The sequence below is a fragment of the Homo sapiens genome, chromosome 8 (genome assembly GCF_000001405.40).
Source record: "Homo sapiens chromosome 8, GRCh38.p14 Primary Assembly".
NCBI lineage: Eukaryota > Metazoa > Chordata > Mammalia > Primates > Hominidae > Homo > Homo sapiens.
Window position 1 is genome coordinate 60,738,314 of NC_000008.11, and position 25,183 is coordinate 60,763,496.

The 25,183-nt window shown below is 40.4% G+C and overlaps 1 protein-coding gene across 11 annotated transcripts in view; it reads left to right on the forward strand.

The window, feature by feature from the left end:
- The window catches only part of CHD7 (chromodomain helicase DNA binding protein 7), a 189,289-nt gene that overhangs the window by 59,574 nt on the left and 104,532 nt on the right, over nt 1-25,183 (forward strand). For all 11 annotated transcript variants that reach the window (XM_011517553.3, XM_047421945.1, XM_011517555.3 and 8 more), the window contains one exon: nt 2,946-4,784. In XM_011517553.3, the coding sequence (XP_011515855.1) occupies nt 3,120-4,784 (1,665 nt within the window). In that variant the 5' untranslated portion in view covers nt 2,946-3,119. Of the gene's footprint in view, nt 1-2,945; nt 4,785-25,183 lie in introns of those variants that run through there.

Sequence of the window (25,183 nt, forward strand, 5' to 3'; positions counted from 1 at the left end):
ATTTATTGGTTTAAATAGAAATTGGTAAAATGGATTTCACTCTTTTGGTCTACTATTAAAATGTAGCTACTAGAAAACTAAAAATTACATGTAATAGCTCGCATTTGTGGCCCATTGAACAGTGTTCATCTAGACACAGAAAATCTAGATATTGAGTGTAGACGAGAGGGAAGCTTTCAAAATAGGGCTTTGAATGAATATCTTTTATAGAAACACAAAATTATACAATGCAGCTGCGACTTGGGAAAGTGGGCATTCAGATGGTCTTGATCAAATTTAAAAAAAGGACCAAAACAAATTAATTAGATTATCTCAAATCAGAAATATGAAATGCAGCTACCAGATGGATTCCTGGCATAGTTGCCAGCTGGGTCTTGAGGTCAGAAAAGGGGCAGGAAGGCGTTGGTGGCTGTCCCAGTGAGCGGTCACTAATGGCAGACTGCAAAGCCAGTTTTTGAACTTCTCTGCCTGGACCTTACCTGAGCATGGTTGTAGTTGTGCCGAGCGACATGCTTAGTTGATACCATATAATGCTGGCGTTTTTCAAGCGTCTGGGAGATGGACACTTAGTAGAAGGGCGTAGGGAACAGGAAGAGGAGCACAGCCAAGGATCAGTATGGGTACTCTCAGGCAGGGCTGTTTTTCCCTACTCATGCGCATAGGCAACTTGTCCCTCTTCTGAATCTTAAGCTGATAAAAAGTTAGCACCAACTTCATCGCCACTTCTCCAAGCTTGATCTGACTCTGCCTCTGCCTCTGAGCTCAGTGGGCTTGCAAGAGAAGGTCACCAGTGGGCTAAGCCATCCACTCCCTCTGGGCTCACTTTTACCTGGAGCTGGCCTGGAGCCCCATCGAGTCAGTAGCATTTCTTCCCATAACAGTTGGCGGACCCTGGAGGATGAAGCTGCTCCCCAGGACACATATGTAGACGTTACTTTCCTTAAGCTAATTTGAAAGGTTATTTTGGTAAGTGGTTGGGCTGCATGGCTGGTTTAAGCTATTATCAAGTCCATTCCAGTATTTATTTCTTTGAAAGTTAGAATGAGCCTTGAATAAATGATGACTGACTGCTTAGCCTTCTTAGGAGTGTATTTAAGAATATTTGTTGCAACTGGCACTGGAGATGTCTACTTCTCTTTATTTTGGATTTTAAAATAGTTGTATAGTAAAGCAGCGTGTTTTCAGTAAAATAGCTTTCATGCTCACCTTATTTTCACCCATCTGACCTCTGTATTTGGAGAAAGTAGATCAGAAAATTCATGGCAGTTAGCGGCAGAGTGAAGAGACCTTTGACTTTAGTTGACAGCTGTCACCTGAAAACTACAGGCCTGGAGACCCTCTCAGGTGTTATGTCTGTAGTTCTGACAGTGAACAGGAATGTTGTTTACATTTTCTGTAAGCAAAATTCTCCCCTTGTTAGGAATGTGTTAGAATACGGCAGGCAGAAACAGAATTTTTATGTGTCTTACTGGTAAGTTCTCAGGAGTGTTGGTTAGCCCATTGTTCATTCCCATGCTCTTATGGAAGGGTGTCAGTAGAATTTATGACTGAGCCTGTTTTTATCATCACTTTGGAAATTCTTCAACAAGATATTGTTTTTTTCAAGTGAGCTAGTATCACACAATGCTTAATGTCCTTATAAAAGAGAAAAAAATGAGTTAAATTCCAAAGATGTTTAAGATTTCAGTCATTTTCTCTATATGAATTAGGTCTTTATTAGGCCGTTGATTTAATTAGTGTTCAACAAAAACACTTTCCTGTTTAGATTGTCAACGCATTCTTTAAATTAGTTATTTTAATCTGACACAGGATCTGTTAGGAAGAGTTTGAATAAGATGCAGCATGTTACATAGTGTACACAGTGCGCTGGAAGCACGTAGGGTGCGAACACAAGTGCCTGCCAACTTGTCTCCCTTCCTGCTTAGGTCCTGCCTTGTCCCAAAAGGACTTAAGGCAATGGTGAGGAGAGCATATTTTGAACTTTATTCTGTAAAAATAATTTTCAGTTTTGGAGAAAGTTGTATTTCTAGTTATGAGAATAGTTGGTGTCCACAAAGTATCCACTCAACTAGTTTTCTCTGAGTGGTCACGTGGGATTCTGGTCCACCAGAGCCCAGCATGCCTGCGGGTGAATAATGAGCCTGGTGATTGGGCTGCTCTGTGTCAGTGCAGACTGGGACCATGGTAGGCTCAGAGCCATGAGTGAAATTGGTCGTCTTGGACAATGAAAGCTTTTCTTTTAGTTTCTTTCTGAATCTTGTATATTTCTGCCATTAAACATAATGAAATTATGAATTTATTGTACTGTTCTCAAGGTTGCTTTTCAACATCATTATGAACACTTTCTTGTTAGATGCCTCTGTTGCAGTTACATAGTTGTATGTGGGCTGTAAATATCTAATTTGTATGAAATGACCGATTTTGGTATTTGTATAATCCTCTAGTCAATTTAACTAACTTGAGCTTTTCACAGCCCTTGGTGCTGCTGTTGCTCATCTGATTACACCGCTCAGGGGAATAAGGTTAAGGGCGGGCTGTTGGTAACCAGAGCATTTCCAGGGCTTTAGTTCAGCAGATGAGCTGCTTGGCTATATTCATACATCTGCTTGCCTGCTGTGGCAGCTGCTGCTGCTTCACGTTGTGTTCTTTTGTTCTGTTTCATCCAAGAATGGAACGCTAGGAAGTGTAGTGAATGGATTAATTTAAGGTTAAGGTTAGTGTTTTGCTTGCTTTCTAAGTAACCGATCATAATGATGCTTCTGGTAGAAGCTAATGAGTTTCTCTTAAAGTGAACTAAATTTATAAAATACAGCTCAGCGAGGGAGCTAGATTCGTATTGTTGATGGGGACCAAATTCAGATGTACAAAATACTGGCAGTTTTTATCATTGGATCCTAATTCTTTGTTTTCTTCCTTCTTCTCCCCCACCCCAAACTCCCTTCCAGGACCTATATCCAGACTTTGCCTGACACTGCAGGGTCCAAGAGAATTAAAGAAATATGGAATGACATGAAGAAGATTAGTTAAGGATTATAGGCTTTGAGGGCAAACACCTCAGTGAAGTGAAGCACAGGCAAGCTCCTGAGCTGTGGTTTGGAGGAGCCGTGTGTTGGAAGAAGATGGCAGATCCAGGAATGATGAGTCTTTTTGGCGAGGATGGGAATATTTTCAGTGAAGGTCTTGAAGGCCTCGGAGAATGTGGTTACCCGGAAAATCCAGTAAATCCTATGGGTCAGCAAATGCCAATAGACCAAGGCTTTGCCTCTTTACAGCCATCCCTTCATCATCCTTCAACTAATCAAAATCAAACAAAGCTGACACATTTTGATCACTATAATCAGTATGAACAACAAAAGATGCATCTGATGGATCAGCCGAACAGAATGATGAGCAACACCCCTGGGAACGGACTCGCGTCTCCGCACTCGCAGTATCACACCCCTCCCGTTCCTCAGGTGCCCCATGGTGGCAGTGGTGGCGGTCAGATGGGTGTCTACCCTGGCATGCAGAATGAGAGGCATGGGCAATCCTTTGTGGACAGCAGCTCCATGTGGGGCCCCAGGGCTGTTCAGGTACCAGACCAGATACGAGCCCCCTACCAGCAGCAGCAGCCACAGCCGCAGCCACCGCAGCCGGCTCCGTCGGGGCCCCCTGCACAGGGCCACCCTCAGCACATGCAGCAGATGGGCAGCTATATGGCACGTGGGGATTTTTCCATGCAGCAGCATGGTCAGCCACAGCAGAGGATGAGCCAGTTTTCCCAAGGCCAAGAGGGCCTCAATCAGGGAAATCCTTTTATTGCCACCTCAGGACCTGGCCACTTGTCCCACGTGCCCCAGCAGAGTCCCAGCATGGCACCTTCCTTGCGTCACTCGGTGCAGCAGTTCCATCACCACCCCTCTACTGCTCTCCATGGAGAATCCGTTGCCCACAGTCCCAGATTCTCCCCGAATCCTCCCCAACAAGGGGCTGTTAGGCCGCAAACCCTTAACTTTAGTTCTCGGAGCCAGACAGTCCCCTCTCCTACTATAAACAACTCAGGGCAGTATTCTCGATATCCTTACAGTAACCTAAATCAGGGATTAGTTAACAATACAGGGATGAATCAAAATTTAGGCCTTACAAATAATACTCCAATGAATCAGTCCGTACCAAGATACCCCAATGCTGTAGGATTCCCATCAAACAGTGGTCAAGGACTAATGCACCAGCAGCCCATCCACCCCAGTGGCTCACTTAACCAAATGAACACACAAACTATGCATCCTTCACAGCCTCAGGGAACTTATGCCTCTCCACCTCCCATGTCACCCATGAAAGCAATGAGTAATCCAGCAGGCACTCCTCCTCCACAAGTCAGGCCGGGAAGTGCTGGGATACCAATGGAAGTTGGCAGTTATCCAAATATGCCCCATCCTCAGCCATCTCACCAGCCCCCTGGTGCCATGGGAATCGGACAGAGGAATATGGGCCCCAGAAACATGCAGCAGTCTCGTCCATTTATAGGCATGTCCTCGGCACCAAGGGAATTGACTGGGCACATGAGGCCAAATGGTTGTCCTGGTGTTGGCCTTGGAGACCCACAAGCAATCCAGGAACGACTGATACCTGGCCAACAACATCCTGGTCAACAGCCATCTTTTCAGCAGTTGCCAACCTGTCCTCCACTGCAGCCTCACCCGGGCTTGCACCACCAGTCTTCACCTCCACACCCTCATCACCAGCCTTGGGCACAGCTCCACCCATCACCCCAGAACACCCCGCAGAAAGTGCCTGTGCATCAGGTAAGGGGACACAGAGCCTACCTCTGCATTGCAGTGTGAAATTCAACATGGCTAACTTGTCTGATCGAATTTTTCTTTAAACTCTATGAAAAGCTTTTTCATTATGAGTGCCTTAATTTTTATTTGTTATTGGCTTATGCATTTATTTTATTCAGGCATCAATCTCCCTGTCCCAGGGATTGTGCTAGATGTTAAGGATATGTAGATAACTAAGACTGGGTCCCTGCTGACAAGGAGCTGGGTCACCGCTAGCAGGGAGATGGACAGAGGACTCAGAATGCTCACAAGACAAACGCTTTTGTTTCCTTCTCTCAATTCTTCTTTATTCTTTCTCTTTCTTTGTGTGTGTGTGTTTTAAAAATACACTGACACTTGGTTTCTAGCAAAGATTTATGCGTGTGTGGTAGTCTCCTCCATCTCTCCTTTTATATTGTGATATTTTTCTTGGGAAGCTGCAAATCGTATACTTCTGTGATACTTATTTTACTAACTGTTGACTTTGTTAGTGTGAGTTTTAATTGCAAACTGTAGAAAATCACAGTAAATGATAATTCACAGAAGATGTTTGGTCTCTAAAAGATTTGGATACCCAGCACTGAAGTAGGGAATCTTCCTTTTTTGTAAGCTGACGTTTTTGTTATCATTCAGAATTTATAAAAGAACAGATTTAAGTTTATCATATTCACAAAGACATCTTTCCATTATAAATTTTGTTGTTTATGCCCTAGGTCTGTGAAAGATAAATTAATGCCTGTGTATACAGATTATTCTTAGTGCTATTCAAAAATATATACTGATTATCTACCAGAATTGCAGCTCTGTTTTTGGGGTGCACAGTAGCTGATTTTAGAGCTATAAAGCATAGTGCTTGTTTTGATGGACTTATTATCAATTTTGGGGAAATAAGACTTGCATGTGAAAATACAGAGGAGTGAGAGACCAGGCATGATTATGTGACAAATGTCCAGAGAGAGGAAATAACCTGTAGTTGAGAGTGCTTGGAATTTGGCTAGGCCTTACCCCGGGGAGGTGAACCCAGGTCAGCAGTTGAGACTGGGGGATGGTTTGCTAAACAAGGGCACGGGAAGTCAAGCTTGCTGCAGGGAATAGGTTGGAAAGTATCAGTCAGGGCCAGATTGTTGTGATCTTGGATTCCTTTTTAAGGAATTTGGACTTAAACGGGGAGGGAGCCAGTGATATTGATTAGACAGTCCACAGGACAGATGGAGAAGGAGAAGATGAAGTGTGAACCTGTTTTCTAGGCCTTTGAGGACAGTTTGGACCAGAAGGATCAAAGTGGGAGCAGAAGGCATTGAAGCAGTGTTGAAAGTAAAAGGGTTTAGTCAGTAAACAAAGCCACTCAGGGCATCTCAGAGCAGCATTTTTTTTTTTTTTTTTTTTTTTTTTAGTGGTGATAATTGTCTTCTATGCTTTTTGTCAGTTCATTAAAAAAAAGAAAAAAAAAGTATTTTAGGCCAGGCACAATGGCTCATGCCTGCAATCCCAGCACTCTGGGAGGCCGAGGCAGGCAGATCATCTGAGATCAGGAGTTCAATGCCAAACTGGCCAACATGGTGAAACCCCGTCTCTATTAAAAAATACAAAAAATTAGTTGGGCATGGTGGTGCATGCCTGTAGTCCCAGCTGCTTGGGAGGCTGAGGCAAGAGAGTCGCTTGAACCTGGGAGGTGGATGTTGCAGTGAGCTGAGATTGTGCCACTTCACTCCAGCCTGGGCAACAGAGCGAGACTCCATCTAAAAAAAAAAAAATTTTTTTTTTTTTAATTTTAGATTCACGCAGGCATTTAATACAGAGGCTCTGAAGCTTCGTCCTAAGCTGGGCTGAGGGAGTGGAGGTCAGGAAGACTCCTGGGACCACAGGACAAGTAGTGGCTTCAGGGAAGCTGCCCTCAGCCGGTGGGCAGGGCAGCTTCCCTGAAGACCTTGGTGATCCTCATATAACCACCCTTGGTGATTCTTATATAACCTCAGGGCAGAACGCCTCTCCTCAAAGCGGACCAAAAGTACTGTCTCTGAGGCCAGCAGACCTGGGTGGCTTTTAGGACAGAAATGAATGTGACTTAGTTTTTAGGAATTATTATTTTCTTATTCCCTGGAAAGTTTCTTACTAAGCAAGGGATATTTTAGAGCAGTGGTTTCTCAGACTTCTCATTCCGACATCCTCTGTCTTCACCGGAGGGTGAGCACAGTTTGGAAGACACCCTGTGATTATAATCTGATCCCTGGATGAGAATTGTTGCTCTCCTCCAGCTTTCCTGGGTTTTAAGAGTACAGATGCCTCAGTGGGCATTTCAGAGGACATGTGTGAGTCTGTGGCGTTTGAATCCTTGACCAGTGGAGGCTCCATGCCTGCTGTGTCCGGTGCTAGACTTCAGGAGAGCCCACATGCATTCCCTCCTTCTTTGAATGTGTCATTATAGGCAAACTCAGGACCTTTACAGGGATGTAAACTAGGACATTTGAGGTATTTTCATTCTAAGTACAATTATGTTTTCCATTTTGCTCATTGATTATTTGCTTTCTTATTTCTGCTTAACTTTGCATCCTCTTCAGATTTTGAAACACTCAGTTTTGAACATAAGGCTAGGGAGGTGTGAAGTCTCAGGCACAGAACATAGACTTTAAAGTTAGAAAGATATGTGGACCCCAGCTCTATTGCTTATTAACCTGGTGATCTTAGGCAAAGGATTTAACTTCTCTTTACCTCAGATTTTTCATTAGTTAAGCAGGAAAAATAGCACCCAGCACAAAGGGTGTTAGATTAAGTGGGCTTAACATATACCGAGTGCCTAGTATAATGTCCACTCCATGGTATATATGTTAATTCTCCTCTAATTTTAGCTTCTGATCTCCTGAAGTGCAAACCTTGCTACATAATTATGTCATTTCCCATGTAGATACAATGTAAAATTAACTTTATTTATTTATTATTTTTTGAGATGAAGTCTCACTCTGTTGCCAGGCTGGAGTCAGTGGCGCAATCTTGGCTCACTGCAACCTCTGCCTCCCAGGTTCAAGCGATTCTCCTGCCTCAGCCTCCTGAGTGGCTGGGACTACAGGCGCGCACCACCGTGCCTGGCTAATTTTTGTATTTTTAGTGGAAACGAGGTTTCACCAAAATTAACTTTATTTTTAAGGATAGGTTAAATATTATGTAATACAGCCTTAGTTATGAAATAACTAAATTTGATTTGTGCAAATATTATCCCCCTTTTAGACTGTGTTGCCACATGTGAGGAGGATAATAATATGGGTAATTCAAAATACTATCCTATACCTTTAAAATCTCTCTCTCTGAATGATTGACATTCTACCCTAGGAAATATTTTTATTTAATTATGTTTTGCTTTAGAGCTACTAAAATTATTTTGCATTTTATATATGATGGAGTAGTGGCTCAATACTATACCAGGTATCAGGGAAGATACCAGATTAGGTTGAAATGTCCATTTAACTTGATAATGAAAATATCACTTTCAGGTAGACTTAACTCTTCTTGAGTTTTTCGCTTTTTAAAAATAGAAATTATGTTCTTTATGTGTTTCCTGGCTTCTGAATGGATATTTTCTAGATTATGGAACACATTTAAGTATCTTTAAAGATAAGTTTAACTTTATATTGAAAAGTCAACAAAGAAAAATGTTAGAACAAAAAGGCCACAGTTCATCAGATCACAATGTGAAAAATTACACATTTTGGTATATGGACATTTCTTTAATGGAAGTGCTAGACTTTTCGATTATTTGATAAGATTTACAGGGAAGGGAAAAACCCTAGCTTATATTTCTTTTTCAATAGCTAATTAGAACAGTTTTTCTCAAACTTTTCATCTCAGACCTCTACACATTCTTAAAAATTACTGGGGACTCCAAAGAGTGTGTGTTAGCTATGTGAGTTATATGTATTGATATTTACTGTCTCAGAAAGTTTTAAGTTTTTTATTGTTTACCTATGTATTTATGTCTTTCTTTATTTTTGAGACGGAGTCTTACTCTTTCGCCCAGGCTAGAGGGCAGTGGCGCGTTCTTGGCTCACTGCAACCTCCTTCTCCCAGGTTCAAGCAATTCTCCTGCTCATACTCCCTAGTAGTTGGGATTACAGGCACCCGCCACCACGCCCAGCTTTTTTTTTTGTATTTTTAGTAGAGATGGGGTTTCACCATGTTGGCCAGGCTGGTCTCAAACTCCTGACCTCAGATGATCCACCCGCTGTGGCCTCCCAAAGTGCTGGGATTACAGGCATGAGCCACCCTGCCTGGCTAAAATATTGATGAAAGTTTAAAATATTGATTTGTTAATTATTTAAAAATAATAAACCATTATGTGTTAACATACATAATACTTTTTAAATGAAAGATAACTTTTTAAAAAATGAAAGATAAGTTTTCGCAAGACAAAATTAGTGGCATTGTTTTATATTTATCAAATATTGATTTTCACATCTGCTTCTGAATGTAGTCTATGTGCTAGTCATAAGCCTCTGGACAAGTTTACAGCTTATTTGGAAAAAATGAGGATGAAAAAGCAAATAACATCTCAGGATCATGTAGAAATAGTTCTGGTCTCACAGACCCTACAGAAACCCTGGCCCACAATTTTAGAACCACTGGTATGAAGGAAAGAGTACAGGCTTTGGAGTCTGAGTTTTTGAATAGGAGCACCACCGCTTAACGTCACCACCTGACGTTAGTAAGGGTGTCAGGACTTCATTTCATTATCTCTGAAGTGAGGGATCATATGCCTTCCTGGTTAGAGGCTCAGTGAGATTAGTAGTAATGTCTTTTAAGTGCTTAACAGTGGGGACTCAAAAACAATACATCTAGCAAGTGTTCAGAATTGCCTGTTGCAGAGCTTTAAGAAGAATCTTACATATTTCAATGTCAAACATTTTCATAGTTGTTTGACTTTACATCCTTGGTTTTAGTGAACACTTATCAAATATTGAGGCTTCGTATGTGCTTTTCTTTGAGGGAGGGAGAACAATCTTGCTGTGTGAGCAGGAAGATGCAGGCAAGAATATGCCATGAAAAGCACACTGTAGAGATCAGCACTGATCTTTAAAGTCATTCTTAAAGTGGGCGAGGTGGGGGTCTGGGAGGGCTTTCTGGGGGCAGTGATGTCTTTGCTGAGATGTGAAGGATCAGTCTAAGTTGAGAGAAGGATGGATAAAGGAGGGAAAAGAGTTTAAGATTTAGGAAACAATGAGTGCAAAGATCAGAAAGCCCTTTGGGCCTTGAGTGTCCCTAGTATTGCTGGAATGTAGGTCTGGGGCTTAGTGGACAGAAAGCTGCATGGTCCTGGGCCCATGGCACTGGAGGGCACTAGGAGGTGTTTTCAGCATGGACACAGCACCATGGGGCTCTTTGCAGCACCCAGGAGTACGAAGAGGGTGGAGAGGGGGTGGAACCAAAAATGAAAGGTTTATCAGTACACTGTGAACATGGATGAGAACAATCTGCAAGGAAGGCACAGAGCAACATTTTGTTCATTTGAAGAGCTTATCTAAAGAAAGACTAATTAAGTGGATTGTTCTTAAGGTTACAGGCAAGTCCCTGAGTTTCTGGATAGAATTTACACTGCACAGTCCATAGACGTGTCCCAGATCATGGATTATGCTCTTAAATGGAAAGTTCTAGTTGAATTTTTAGGATCTGCAACAAGGTGTCCTTAAAATAAGTTTATTTTGGATACATTTGTACCTTTTTCATTAATTTGGTCCTGAAATAACAGTCATCATGAAACGGAAGTAGAAAAAAAATTTAAAAGCTACTAAGATTGAGGTGATAGGTAATAATTTCCCATCTCCTCATTTTCCCTTGAGATTAAAAAAAACCTGGAAGAATCAGTGGTACAATTTTTTTTTTTTTTTTTAAAAAAATAGCCTTTCAGGGAAAACCTTTTATTGGTAAATCTCAAGTAGCATCAATCTTATACTGAGATTCTTTAAGTTTACCCAGTAAATAAAGAATTACAAGGCCGGGCGTGGTGGCTCACGCCTGTAATCCCAGCACTTTGGGAGGTCGAGGTGGGTGGATCACAAGATCAGGAGTTCGAGACTAGTCTGGCCAACATAGTGAAACCCTGTCTCTACTAAAGATACAAAAATTAGCCAGGCGTGGTGGTGCATGCCTGAAATCCCAGCTACTTGGGAGGCTGAAGCAGGAGAATCGCTTGAACCCGTGAGGCGGAGGTTGTGGTGAGCCAAGATCATGCCACTGCACTCCAGCCTGGTCAACAGAGCAAGACTCTGTATCAAAAAAAAAAAAAAAAAAAAAAAAGGAATTACAAATTACAGACATGGGCAGAGTAATTGGCAACTAAGTAAATTTATGGAAAAAGGTGGCTGTGTTTCTTAAGGATTACGTATGCAGGTTGTAATCAGAAATAGACAAAAATACCTTTTTAATGGAGAGCAGATGTATCTTGTCAATACTACCTTTCTCACTTCTAAAGACATCTGGGAAAGATGGGAAAACAAAATGTCTCTAAAAAAAAATCAGCTTTTACCTAAGTGGTATTCAGGGGCTTTTGCAGGTATATGCACCTTCAGAAAACAGGCACCCAGGCTGGACCTCATTGGAGCAGGTTGCCCCATCTGGTGCTCACAGAAGGAAGGCAAAAGAAATCACTGCTTTCTCACTTGCTGTGGCCCACTGCTAGTTCTTCATGACATCTTTAGTTAAAGCAAACCATCCAGCCTTTACTGGTCTCTCTTTCCTGGGCCATAGGTTGCTCTCAACAGCCTGTGGTTTCTCACGAAGACTCTTAAAGTATTTCTTTTGACTACTTCAATTTATATATACTACAGCTTATTGAGTAACCTGTCTGCGTTTTTCCTCAACATCCAACAAGCTGGTTTATCCCAGAGGTCAGAATTATACCAGGTGTCAAGTTAAAGCACAGGGAAAAATCTACTCCATCTGTCCTTTCACCCCATAGTCTGAAAGCATGAATGGCTGATAGCCTCGCTCCTTAGATGGCTTTTATTTTGTAAAAGAGTATTGTTTTATGTGACATCAAAAATTTTGTAGGTGATAAGAATTTAGTTTGTTAGTTTACCTTTGAAGCCTGGATATTAGGCCTCTGCTAGGTGTCCCAATTGATATTCTTAAAAGAAGCCACTTTTGGTGCTGCATTTTCATCTTGGTGTCTTAGGTACCTTCATGAAAGGCAGTACCACATGAAAGAAATACTTATTTAGTGCCTGTTATGTGCCAAGGACTGTGTTAAGGAGAGATTGCTGGTATGGTGGAAGGCAGGGAGGAGACAGCAACCTCCACCGAGGTGGAAAGGGAATTTTGTTATTTAAGTATAACATTTCTGGCTGTCCTATCTTTGTGTACTTACTATGTTCTAGACCAGAACTGTCCAGTTATATGATGGGAGCTACAAATACAACGCATTTATGTTGATACAGATTTTCTGGTAACCACATTTTACCATTAAAGAAACTGGTAAAACTAATTTTAGTAATACATTTAATTAAACCAACATATCCAAGACATTTCAACATGTAGTCAGTATAAAAAATTGCTTGTGAGATATTTTACGCAAGAATTTAAAACCTGATATGTATTTTACACAGATTGCGTGAGCTGCATCTCAGTTGCTCAGTGACCACACATGGCTGGTGGCTGCATATTAAACAGCACATGCTAGACTCTTTCCCTATCAGTTGCTGCAAATTCTTTTTAAAAACAAGTCAGAGTATAAATAATTTTATTCACATGTAAATAAATGTAAAATTGTTAGTGTAATTATGACAGTCATCCTCCAAGACAGGTGTTACCCACCTTTGCTGTAAGGTTAAGGAAGTAGTAGCGGTGTTTTTAGGTATAATGAATAAATGCAGTACTAGGGGGTGTGCCTGTGTTAGGGATATTAGTATCAGTTCTTGACAAGATACGTTATTGAAGTTTGATTTCATTTGTTTGAGTTTCAAAGAAGGCTACATAAATGGTGTTTGTCCTGTGGGAAAAAATAGCGTGTTTGTCTGAAAGGTGGATTACAGACATTTTCAAGATTTTAGTTTTGAGTGGCGTTTGGATACTTTTGGTAGTTAATTCCTCACCTCTATCCCCTAGCTTTTTGCCTGTCTCTAATACAATTGCTTGTTTCTTCATGAAATTGACTCTCCAGGATAAGGGAAAAAGCCTTCATTTTTATTAATATGCATGATCCCCCCTCCCCATTTCTTTCACTTTTTTCTTCTGTGCTGCCTTTTTCTTCCCTGTTATAATAATCTTTCAGAACGGCAGTCTCTGGTACAGCAGAGCAATAGTTGGCTGAGGAAGAAGAATTGGGAAGTGGGTTAGGGGGACAATTAAGGGAACAGCATTGTGAGAACTAATCTGGAGAATTTACCCTAGCCTTGACATCTTAATGTTATTTTCTATTCTCTGTAGTTACAGCTGTAAATCTATAGATAATCCTTAAGTAGCCATGCAGAGATGGCCCTGGTATTTCCTTTGTTGCTGAATGCAGCTCTTGTATCAGTGAAGAAAGTCAGTAGCAAACTTGTACTTGTCCTTTTGCCTTGTAAAACTTTAGTAGTTTATGGTGTGTCACCAGGAGTGAGGTTTTATTTTGTTTTTCCTTCACTTAGTGTAAAAAATGGAGGAGAACCTTCGAGGGCTAGGACATGACTGCAGGAGTGGTGGAGGGCTAGGACATGATTACAGGTGATGGAGAACTTGAAGTTGGCAAAATGCCAAGAAATTGACAGCGTTGCATTTAAAAAAGTCAACGTAGATACAGGACTACCTGCATCATCTTGCTTGTTTTTTATCCTGGACAATTTCCAGGACGATGGGAGTGATGGCCAGGGAAGGCTGCAAGGCACTTCCTTACCTCTTATTTTAAAGATTGGATCAAAAACATGCCTTTTTGATGCTGTTTAATATTAATGAAGACTATAATATTTGTGATATTCTTTAAAGTGTATTTGTCCTGTTTTCCTCTACTGCTTTCTGTGTTTAGTTCTAAATCATTCTGTACCATAGGTTTCGGGAGTCCTAGACGTTAACCTTAACTATGTTAACTGTGTAACTTGGCTCACTGTGTGAAAGCAAAAAAACAATTGTTTTAGGGTGTAAGCAAGTGTTATTAATCTTAAAGAGTCTTTTTGTTTGTTTTGGCCATGGGTAGAAAGCATTGGAGAATATTGAGGAGGTGCAAGCAGTGGTGCTGGGAGACTGTGTGGAGGGTTTTTCGAATGGCAAGTGTTCTAGCTTAACTTATGCCTTTCCTGTCTAATCTATTCATAGACTGGCTGAAACAGGTTTGCAATATTAGCATAGGAATTCCACTCTCACCCATTTGGTGGGCTGTGAAGTGTTCTGGCCTCTTGCCAGCGGCTGCTCAGTTTAGGCAGTTGGGAGGTTGCAGGGTGCATATCCTTTCTTGTGAACAGGCAAAGAACTTTAGATCATTCTTTTTCTGAAAACTTTTTGTTTTTTGAAGGTATGTATCTAAATGTGCTCTTTAATGAAAGGGGAGGGTATAGACTTAAAATTCTTATTGAATATAGAAATACTTGACATTAAAGTTTGATTTTTAGATCATGTTTCTTGATGGACTCTTGTAACTTGAAGATTTTCTTCCATTAAAAAACAATAATAGAAAATTGTGGGATTTTTGCAATTTGTGATGTGTTTGTTTTCACTGTTATTTTTAAAAACAAGTCTAGCATGAAGAGATACCAAGTTTAACCACTTTGGAGTGTGCTAGAAATAAACTGTGGGGAACTAACTTGGAGAATTTACCTTGATCTTGACATCTTAATGTTACTCTCCATTCTCTGGAGTTACAGCTGTAAATCTATAGATAATATCTAAGTAACCACAGGGAGAAATGGAACTGGGACAATAAATAAGTAGAATATGCTGACTTTGCTTTAAATTGGCCCATTACTAAGCTAACTCCATTTTTGGCTGCTCAAATATGTCAGAGACATTTCCCTGAATGAGAGCTATTGAAATGCATGAAGACATCCCTTGGATTAAAGGAGATAAGTCAGAGTTTTTTAGGGAAAGTGTTTTATTTAAGTAAGATGCTAAGTAGTATTTCATTTTTGTCATCGATTTCTCTGAATGTTTTTTTCTGTTCACTTTAAATATATTTATCCAGACAGTGGAACATGTCAAGGGAGTAGTCATCTTCATACTGGAATAAGGCGCTGTGGGAACCCCTGTGCTCAGTGTCCTGCCTAACCTGACCTCTGATGCAACAACGTGTCTTTCTTACTTGAAAATCATGGTAGAAGACTTAGATCAAAGAAGGAAATAATTCAGTCTAATTTTGGAAAACATCTTTCCTTAGATGTGAGCTTAAGGCTTGCAGTTTTACTTTTTGCAAGAAAGTTCAAAACCAATATTCACACATAAATAAGGTCTCTAAGCTAGGATATCATTGATGAAGAAAACAAACAACAACAGTAAGAGACTAGCCATTCATAGAATAAAAATGAGCCCAATAATAAGATCAGTTTTTTGTTTTGTTTTCTTTTGTTTTGTTTTCTTTTGAGATGGAGTCTTGCTCTGTCGCCCAGGAGATGGAGTTTGCAGTGGTGCGATCTTGGCTCACTGCAGACTCCATCTCCTGGGCTCAAGTGATCCTCCCACCTCATCCTCCAGAGTACCTGGGGCTACAGTCGCCCACCACCGCACCTGGCTGATTTTTGTATTTTTAGTAGAGACGGGGTTTCACCATGTTGGCCAGGCTGGTCTCGAACTCCTTTCCTCGGGTGATCCACCTGCCTCAGCCTCCCAAAGTGCTGGGTTTACAGGTGTGAGCCACCGCGCCCTGCTGCAAATCATTAAATCAGTTTTAATAAGCTCCCCACGTCAAAGAGCCATGTTAGATGCTAGAGTGGTATTTCATACTGAATATAAATTTAATTCCAAAGTAAGTAAATGCAAAGAGACAAGTGTCAGTTTATTTCTTTCATTTAATGTTTTCTCTGTCATTTTTTAAGCCTCTCACCCCTCCACTATTCTGTGTAGTGGTCACACACTAGGTGGAGCTGCCAGGACTCTGCCCCTCACTGCTAGCACAGGTTGCTGGGCAGGCAAGAGCACAGAGTTGTGAAGACCACAGGCTTCATATACACTGAGAACTCCATTTAAATGTGGCTCTTCCATTTTTTTCTTAAGTCATCTTAAATGATACATACTTAACTTCCCTAAACCTCAGTTTCTTGATACAGTGATTGTACCGATTATACAGAATTATGAGAATTAAATGAGATAATGACTGTAAAATTTTTAGCACAGCATGTGGTATATGCCCAATAAATGTTAAATATTTTTTATTTTAACTACTGTTGTAGTGATTATCAAAATGAGCTTTTGGAATTCTTTCTTTTTTTACCTTCTACTCTTTCACTTTGAAGTAGACTGACTTTCCCTTATTTTGGAAAACAGGACATCATCTATCAGTGCCTTAAAAATCAACTTACTAGATTCTCCATAAGGCAGACAAAAATTCATAATGTTTTGTAGGGGGGAGCAAAAATTACCATCACACTACTGTATTTCTTTTCAGTTGAATCTCTAGGAAATATTACTGTATATAAAATACTAGCTGCTTTCTAAGTGTTTCTTTCTAACTTCAACCAAGGTGAAAACCATCACTTAGTTTTCAGAAACTTCAAATGGCAGGTTAAGTTGACGTCCTGTTTCATATTGCTAGGGATGGTCGCTGGTATTCCCTCTAGCATGCAAGAAGTTCATCCACTGACCTATAATATATGTAGTTCTACATAGAGAAAGTTCAGTAGTACTAAGTCTTTGTTAAGTATAATTTTAAACTTACAAGTACCTTAAATCCAGTGATCCACTTCATGCCCTTGTTGTTACTAGCATCTTACCATGTTTTCATGGTGTGCTCTCCAAAACCCTGAGATGAACTTATACTTTAGTGGATGGGTTCCTGTTGACTGGCACTGAAGGCCCTGTTGTGAACTCAGTTGATTTATGAAGGCTATCCCACTTAAGATTTTTATAATGCTTCTTTATCCTAATCTGTTTTTTTTTCTTAAAAAGTAACTTCATAGGTTTTAAAGTGTGGAAGACACAAAAGAATTGAAAGGTTGGCTGCAGTGTAATTTAGTAGCTAAATTTTAAAAAATAAGAAGGCAGTTCACATTTTTTCAAATAAGTAAGGAAGGTTTACATTTTTGGAGACAGTTTTTATCCATAAAAAACATTTATGGGCAGCACTGTAACACCATTGCCATTTTTTTTAAGAATTTACTATTTAGAGCGAGAAGAGACTTGTGTAAGAATTGAGCTTGGAGCCAGGTTTTCTCTGCAAGAAAGAGTGGTTCTGTCTTTGCTCAAATTTAAATATAGGGAGAAGACCCTTTTGTTTATTATCTTCCAACTTTATACACTATAGTTTTTAAATATTTTTAACAATATTTTAATGTATTTTTAAATAAAAATATTGGTAAAAATGAGATTGAAAAAAGTAAACAGAAAACCTATTTATCTAATGTCCATCAGTTGTAATATGTTTACTAAATATTGTGTATATTTTTATATGTATTTTATTGAATTGTAATCTATATACAATCTGTGTATTAAATGAAATGTTTCCTGAATTTTATACTATAGAGTGGTTGCAATCCAGGCTGTCATGTATGTTCAGTCAACTCAAGGTTTAAGGAAAGAAAACCCTTTTAAATATAACCGTGTACTGAAATGTATCAGAAAGTATCTAGGATTTTCCAAGTTATTTTTTAAAGAAGGTTTGCCGTGTTCTTTGATATCATGCTAATAATGAGTGTTTGTAGAAAATATATAACCTAGTACTGTCCGTGATCTTTCTGTCATGATGAAAATGTTCTATATTTGCTCAGTCCAATATGGTAGCCACTAGCCACAAATGGCTACTGTACCCTTGAAATGGGGCTAGTGAGGCTGAAGAACTGAAATTTTAATTTTATTTGATTTTAATTTAAATAGCCATGAGGCTAGTGACTTTCATATAGGACCACTGAAGTATAACCACACAAGCCAAATTATTTCAAGTATCAGAAAATAAGATGTAGAGCACAATTAAAAATAGAAAGGAGAGTTTTTTGTTGCATATGTAGCCAGTGTAAGCTTTGTGTTTCCACTTTTATTCTCTCTCACCTCTTAATAGGTGGCCCTGAAACCATGGGTATCTCGTGTCTTTGGCCTTGTGATGTAGTGATAGGATATAGTCATCTATACATGGTAATGCTGACATAAGTCACTTCATGATTTTTTGGAATAAATTTTTGCTGGGTATCAGCCAATTGTTAAACACAGCATATTGTTTTAACTAATGCAAGTATAGCATCTTGTTTTATGGTATAAGTGATATTTTAGAAAGTTGTTAATCCCAAAAAAGTCCCTGTCACAAATGCTTCATATAAAATATTTAAGGCCAGGCACGGTGGTGTGCACCTGTAGCCCAGCTATCTGGGGGGCTGAGGCAGGAGGATTGCTTGAGCCCAGGAGTTTGAGGAGGTTACAGTGTGCCATAATTGCACCTGTGAATAGCCACTGCACTCCAGCCTGGGCAGCATAGTGAGACTGTCTCTTTTAAATGCACACACACATACGCGCATACACACACACACATTTAAAATGGATGGGGTGGGTGCATTGCATATCTTAGTTAATATCCACTAGATTTTTGGTTTATTAATTAGGTCATGGGTAGGACCTTGATAGAAAATAATTTGCCAAATCCTTTAAGTCATCAAGTCTAAGCAAATATATTAAATGCCATTGAAGTGCTCACTTTAAAATGCTTAATTTTATGTTACATGAATCTCAACTTGATTTTTAAAAAGGGTCTAAAGTACTAATTTTACATCTTATTGCTGGAGAGAAGAGCTCCATTCTTTGAAAACCAGAAAAGAGGATCGTAGGATGAATATTCTATATTGAGTCTCTAACATTTGTCCTCACCTGGATGGAAATTTCCCACATTCTGCTGGGATTGGGGCCTTAAAAAATGACTGTAGGAAATCCAGCCCTTTATTAAATGAAGATTCCAGAGAGCTCTGTCCAGTGGAATTTTCTGGGATGATAGAAGTCTTCTTTTTGGTGTCCAGTATGGTAGCCTGTAGGCCCTTGTGGTTAGGAAGCACTTGAAATGGGGCTAGTATGACAGAGGAACTGAATTTTAAATTTTAATTTTAACCAACTTAAACAGCCATATTTGGCTACTGACTACTATTGGACAGTGCAATTCTAGAATCATAATTGGTAGAGAAGTAGTCTTCAAACTTTTTTGTCTCCTAAGAGAATTTTAAAAAAAATTCTCTTTTTCAGTTTGAATACATGCATTAAAATGTGTTTGTCTTCATGACAATTATCTCACTAAACAGGCATTTGTCACCTGGATGAAATGAAGGACTGCCCTCTTGATATTTATTAACTCTCTGCTTTGCTGCCAAGTGACTCTTCCTAAAGAGGTTGGTGTCCCAGAGGTTTTTATACTCCAGGGCAACACACTGTAATAATATTTGGGATGAGTGAAAGCCATTTTGGTAAAGAGAAGTGATTGTAAAAAGGAAGGTGGAAAGGGGGACTTTTAGAAAATAGATACCAAAGATGACAGTGTTAGTTCTGATAGAATGTATTTTGAGCCACTCTGATTTGATACTTAGATACCAGAACTATTCTAGTTAATAAAATGAGGCATGATTAGTATAAGAAAGAACACTTAACCTTCCTGCTACTAAGGCAGGTGGGGGCATTCATCCAGATTATTTAATATGTGAGACAAATATGTTCAGGTAACTGCTTGTCTGTTTATAATTGTTTTATTTAAAGTAATAGTTCTCAAATGTTTTAGTTTTGAAATCCTGATGCTCTTAAATATTGAGAACCCCAAAGAGCTTTTGTTTATTCTGGTTTTATCTGTTGTTATTTACCATATCAGAAATGAAAACTAGGAAATTTAAAAAATACATTTATTCATTTAAAAATAATAATAACCCCCTTATTGGTTCATTGAATTATGCCAATCTTCTGATTTTTGTATACATTTTTTTTTGAGGTGGTCTTACTCTGTCACCCAGGCTGGAGTGCAGTGGCATGATCATGGCTCACTGCGTCCTCTACCTCCCAGGCTCAAGCAATCCTCCTACCTCAGCCTCCTTAGTAGATGAGACTACCCACCTGGCTAATTTTTTTGTATCTTTTGTGGAGATGGGGTTTCACCGTGTTGCCCAGGCTGGTCTCAAACTCCTGAGCTCAACTGATCCGCACCCCTTGGCCTTCCTGAGTGCTGGGATTACAGGGATGAGCCACTGCACCCAGTCTACAATATTTTTTAAAAATCACATTTGTTGGTATTACCACTGACTTCTCAGAAAAGTCTTTAAAGATTGAGAAGTTGTTGAGCTCATGGGTGTTTTCAAAATTCTCACTTTTGTTTGAGAGCTCATATTTTATTATTGTAAATAAACACCATGAGTTACTTTCGTTGAAGTGATTGGCTCACTTTATTTCAAGAGAATTACTGCCAAATACTTGAGTCTGAATATCTGTGGCTTGTCTTTCAGTTGGACTTTCAAGTAAAAACAATATTCCTTAAAAAAACAAAAAGGGTGGCCCATTCAACTCACAACTCTAGGCAGTTGCGCGAGCGCTCTTCTTGGTGATAGCCTTCCTTGGTGCTTTGGTGAGCAGCAGATATCCTTCATGTGCACTTCCAGTTTCCTCACAGAAAAGATTAAAAAGGGGCAGGAATAACAAATATCAAGTTTTACTGTTTTGTCAAGGACATCTTTAAATGAGTTGGCTTACTTTTTTTCCTAATGTGAGTTGGTGGCCATTGCAAGAATAACAATTACCAGCGTATTTTTCTGTCACTGCCTTGATTGTGCTTGCACCACTGATGTAAATGTCAACACAGTGAAAAGGGCAGCGATGTCTTAGTATATTATGAAAAAGTGCTGATTTTGTGAATGTCCTGAAAGAGTCTCAGGGACCCCTGAGGGTCCACAGAACACACTTTGAACACTGCTGGTTTAAAGGGAAGTTACAAACAGTAACTTTTTCTTACAAAATTGAAAACCCATTTTTATCTAGAAAAAAAATCTAACTGTGTTTGGGAGTGGGAAGGTAAAGTGCAGCTGGGGTGCTGGCCACCACTGCCAGGTCATGTCTTGAGCAGGAATGAGTCAGATAGCCTGTGAGAGAAGGCAGCGAATGGATTGGTTTTTGCTCTTAAGCAAACCTATTGTTTCTGATGCTGTTTGCTTCTCTCCCTCTCCATCTCCCTCTCCCTCTCTCTCTCTCCGCCTCCCTTTCTCCCTCTCCCTCTCTCCCGCTCTCTGTCTCCCTCTCTCTCTCCCTCCCTCTCTCCCTCTCTCCCTCTCTCCCTCTCCCTCTCCCTCTCCCTCCCTCTCTCCCTCTTTCTCTCAGTCTCTCTCACTCTCACCTTCTGGTGAGAGAGCATTTATGGTAAACAACTCACTTTAAATTGAGGCCTGGTACTCCGTAATTGAGAGGTATTCCTGTTGCTCTGCAGAGGTAAGCCCCCGTCAGTCATGCCTAGACTCTGCTGTCCCAGGGAAGTAGAACCCACCATGTAAGCCTCTTCTTACTCATGTCTCTAGTATGGGATTTAAAAATTCTCTTAGTGAAAATCATGTGTTAAATAATGAGTTTAAGCTGGAGTGTGAAAAATAAGGTTGTTGAGAACGGAGGACAGCTATGTAGGGTGAGTCTTGGAGGACGGCTGGGTCTTATTGAGGTCATTCATTCATTCATTCATCCATCTATTCATCGGATGTTTAGTGACTGCCTAGTATGTGATACGTGCTGAGAATATAATGTTAAATGCTATATTTTTCTTGCTGCCAGGAAGCTCAGCTGTGGCTCCCACTGAGTGGTAAGCATGCATTTGGATTGCTGTGTAGTAATGTTGGTGAGAATGAGCACAAGTTTAGTTCAGGGAAGAGGTAGACTGTTCAGTTTGGGGTCAGACAAGGCTTCACAGAGGTTTTCAGCTTTGGAAATCTGAAATATACATATACTCAGAGTTGATGAGGCTTTGGGATTGACTTCATAAGATGGTCCTAGGAGTTGGTATCTGAAGACGGTGGAGGCCAGTTAGTACTTTATAGACCTTAAAAATATTCCCTATTTAATAAATGGTGCTGGGAAAACTGGCTAGCCATATGTAGAAAGCTGAAACTGGATCCCTTCCTTACACCTTATACAAAAATCAATTCAAGATGGATTAAAGACTTAAACGTTAGACCTAAAACCATAAAAACCCTAGAAGAAAACCTAGGCATTACCATTCAGGACATAGGCATGGGCAAGGACTTCATGTCTAAAACACCAAAAGCAATGGCAACAAAAGCCAAAATTGACAAATGGGATCTAATTAAACTAAAGAGCTTCTGCACAGCAAAAGAAACTACCATCAGAGTGAACAGGCAACCTACAAAATGGGAGAAAATTTTCACAACCTACTCATCTGACAAAGGGCTAATATCCAGAATCTACAATGAACTCAAACAAATTTACAAGAAAAAAACAAACAACCCCATCAAAAAGTGGACAAAGGACATGAACAGACACTTCTCAAAAGAAGACATTTATGCAGCCAAAAAACACATGAAAAAATGCTCACCATCACTGGCCATCAGAGAAATGCAAATCAAAACCACAATGAGATACCATCTCACACCAGTTAGAATGGCAATCATTAAAAAGTCAGGAAACAGGTGCTGGAGAGGATGTGGAGAAATAGGAACACTTTTACACTGTTGGTGGGGCTGTCAACTAGTTCAACCATTGTGGAAGGTCAGTGTGGCGATTCCTCAGGGATCTAGAACTAGAAATACCATTTGACCCAGCCATCCCATTACTGGATATATACCCAAAGGACTATAAATCATGCTGCTATAAAGACACATGCACACGTATGTTTACTGCGGCATTATTCACAATAGCAAAGACTTGGAACCAACCCAAATGTCCGACAATGATAGATTGGATTAAGAAAATGTGGCACATATACACCATGGAATACTATGCAGCCATAAAAAATGATGAGTTCATGTCCTTTGTAGGGACATGGATGAAATTGGAAATCATCATTCTCAGTAAACTATCGCAAGAACAAAAAACCAAACACCGCATATTCTCACTCATAGGTGGGAATTGAACAATGAGAACGCATGGACACAGGAAGGGGAACATCACACTCTGGGGACTGTTGTGGGGTGGGGGGAGGGGGGAGGGATAGCACTGGGAGATATACCTAATGCTAAATGACAAGTTAATGGGTGCAGCGCACCAGCATGGCACATGTATACATATGTAACTAACCTGCACATTGTGCACATGTACCCTAAAACTTAAAGTATAATAATAATTAAAAAAAATATATTCCCAGTTCCACCGTTGCCTTTTTCTGCTCTCAGGGTACATGGGAACTCAAATTCATAATCAGACCATGTTTGGTGCGAATAGAGTGGGGGCAAAGGGGGTTTATGTTTCTGAGGTTTATCTAGGATGTTCATCCAGGCTTCCCTATATCTCTGCCAGACAGCAGAGGTCTTTTTGGTAGAAGGATTTCCATAATCCATGTATTTTCTAGAACTTGTTGGCTAAATGGCTAAGTGAATGTTTTTTGGAGTGCTACCAGACCCTGCCCTTCCTGTTAATAAATAGATTAATTAATTAATCAGAAATTTTCTTAAAATTTAGATGTACATCTAAGTTGGATAAAGTAAGATCTTCAGGAGCCCTTGGCCAGTGTCAGTATAGAACATCTACCTGATAATTTCTTCTAGAGAACTGGGCCCACTTGGGCTTCCCCTTGGTAAGAGATGCTGAGGTTCTGGTTGGGCTGGTCAGGATCTGATATGAGTACTGTTGTATTCTCTTTACTTCCTTTCCAATTGCCATGAGAGGGGAGTCTCTGCCCCACATTTTTAACCAGTCCTTCACCAGACTCTTGGGTCTTAGTCTGTGTCATCTCTTCATGGGCCCTTAGCATGTTCTGTCTGTGTAGGTCCTCTCAGTAAAGTCCTTCTTAAAGCACAAATAAACAAAAGCCCCATCTTCCTCTAACTACTGCTCCAGGCACAGTGAACTGATTTTAGTTCTTCACAACCTTTTCACCCCTGAGCTTCTGGCACATAACACTCACCCCTAGTTTAGAAATCCTTATGTCTGCAAAGCCTCTGCTGACACTGCTGAATGTGGGGTCTGGGCTTCTCCTCCACACCAGTCTTGCTGTCTCTGTTACGATTATTGCTCCTCTGCACACTTTGGAAGGCAGCACAGCACAATGTTGAAGAGCATGGCCCTGGAGTCCCGACTCTGTCACTTAGTGAGCTGTGTGGCCTGGGGTGAATTACATAGCTTCTCTGTGCCTCAGTTTTCTCACCTCTAACATGGGAATCATACTTGGACCTATTTAACCGTGTTATTAGAAAGACTGAGATAATACATGTACTGTGCTTAGAATTGTGCTTGGTACATAGTAAGTTGTCTGTAAATTATTACTGCTATCGATGCCACATTATTACTATTTTTGCTGCTACTAGGACTCTGTTTTTGCTAGTATACTCTGTTGCCCCCACTGTACTCTGAGTTGAGTGAGGTCAGGGTTCCTGTCCCTCATTTTCTCTGTCGTAGCTTCAGTGTGTGGGCACATACATTCTATAGGTGCTTGTTGAATGTGTGATATGCTAGGACAGAGGAGTGGGAGCGAAGAGGGATCTTGCAGGGTGGGGAGACAATGGCATTCAGAGGCCTCCTGCTGGAGGACGTGTCTTCAGGGCTGAGCTATACCTGATGGCTGGAAGCTAGCCAGGACCAAGGATCACATGACAGTAGCACAGAGGCCCCGAGGGTTGGTGGGGGGGCGGCAGGGGGAGGTGGGAGAAGATGGGACTGCAGAGGTGAGGCCAGCAAAGAAATGGGAGTCATGCTGGGCAGGTCGGTCCAGTGAGGGGAGCAGGGTGTGGCCATATGTGCCGTGTAAAATTATCTAGTCACCATGTTAAAGAGCAAAAAGAAACAAGCAAAATTAACTGTGATATATTTCATTTAATGCAAGATATATCCAAAAGATTGTGTCAACATGTAATATTTAACCATTTCAACAAATCATATTTAATAGAGAAATACTGATGAGATATTTTACATTGTTTTTGTACTAAGTCTTTGAGATCTGGTGCTTTTGTACTTGTAGCACATCTCAGTTTGGATTGGCCACATTCCAGGTACTCAGTAGCCACACATGGCTGGTGGCTGCCACGTCAGACAGCATGGCTTGGTAGAAGACAGTTGAGAGGTAATGGGTTTTGAATTAAGACAGTGTGGGTGGGGAGCGGTCAGGGGAGTAGAACTTTACAGGATGA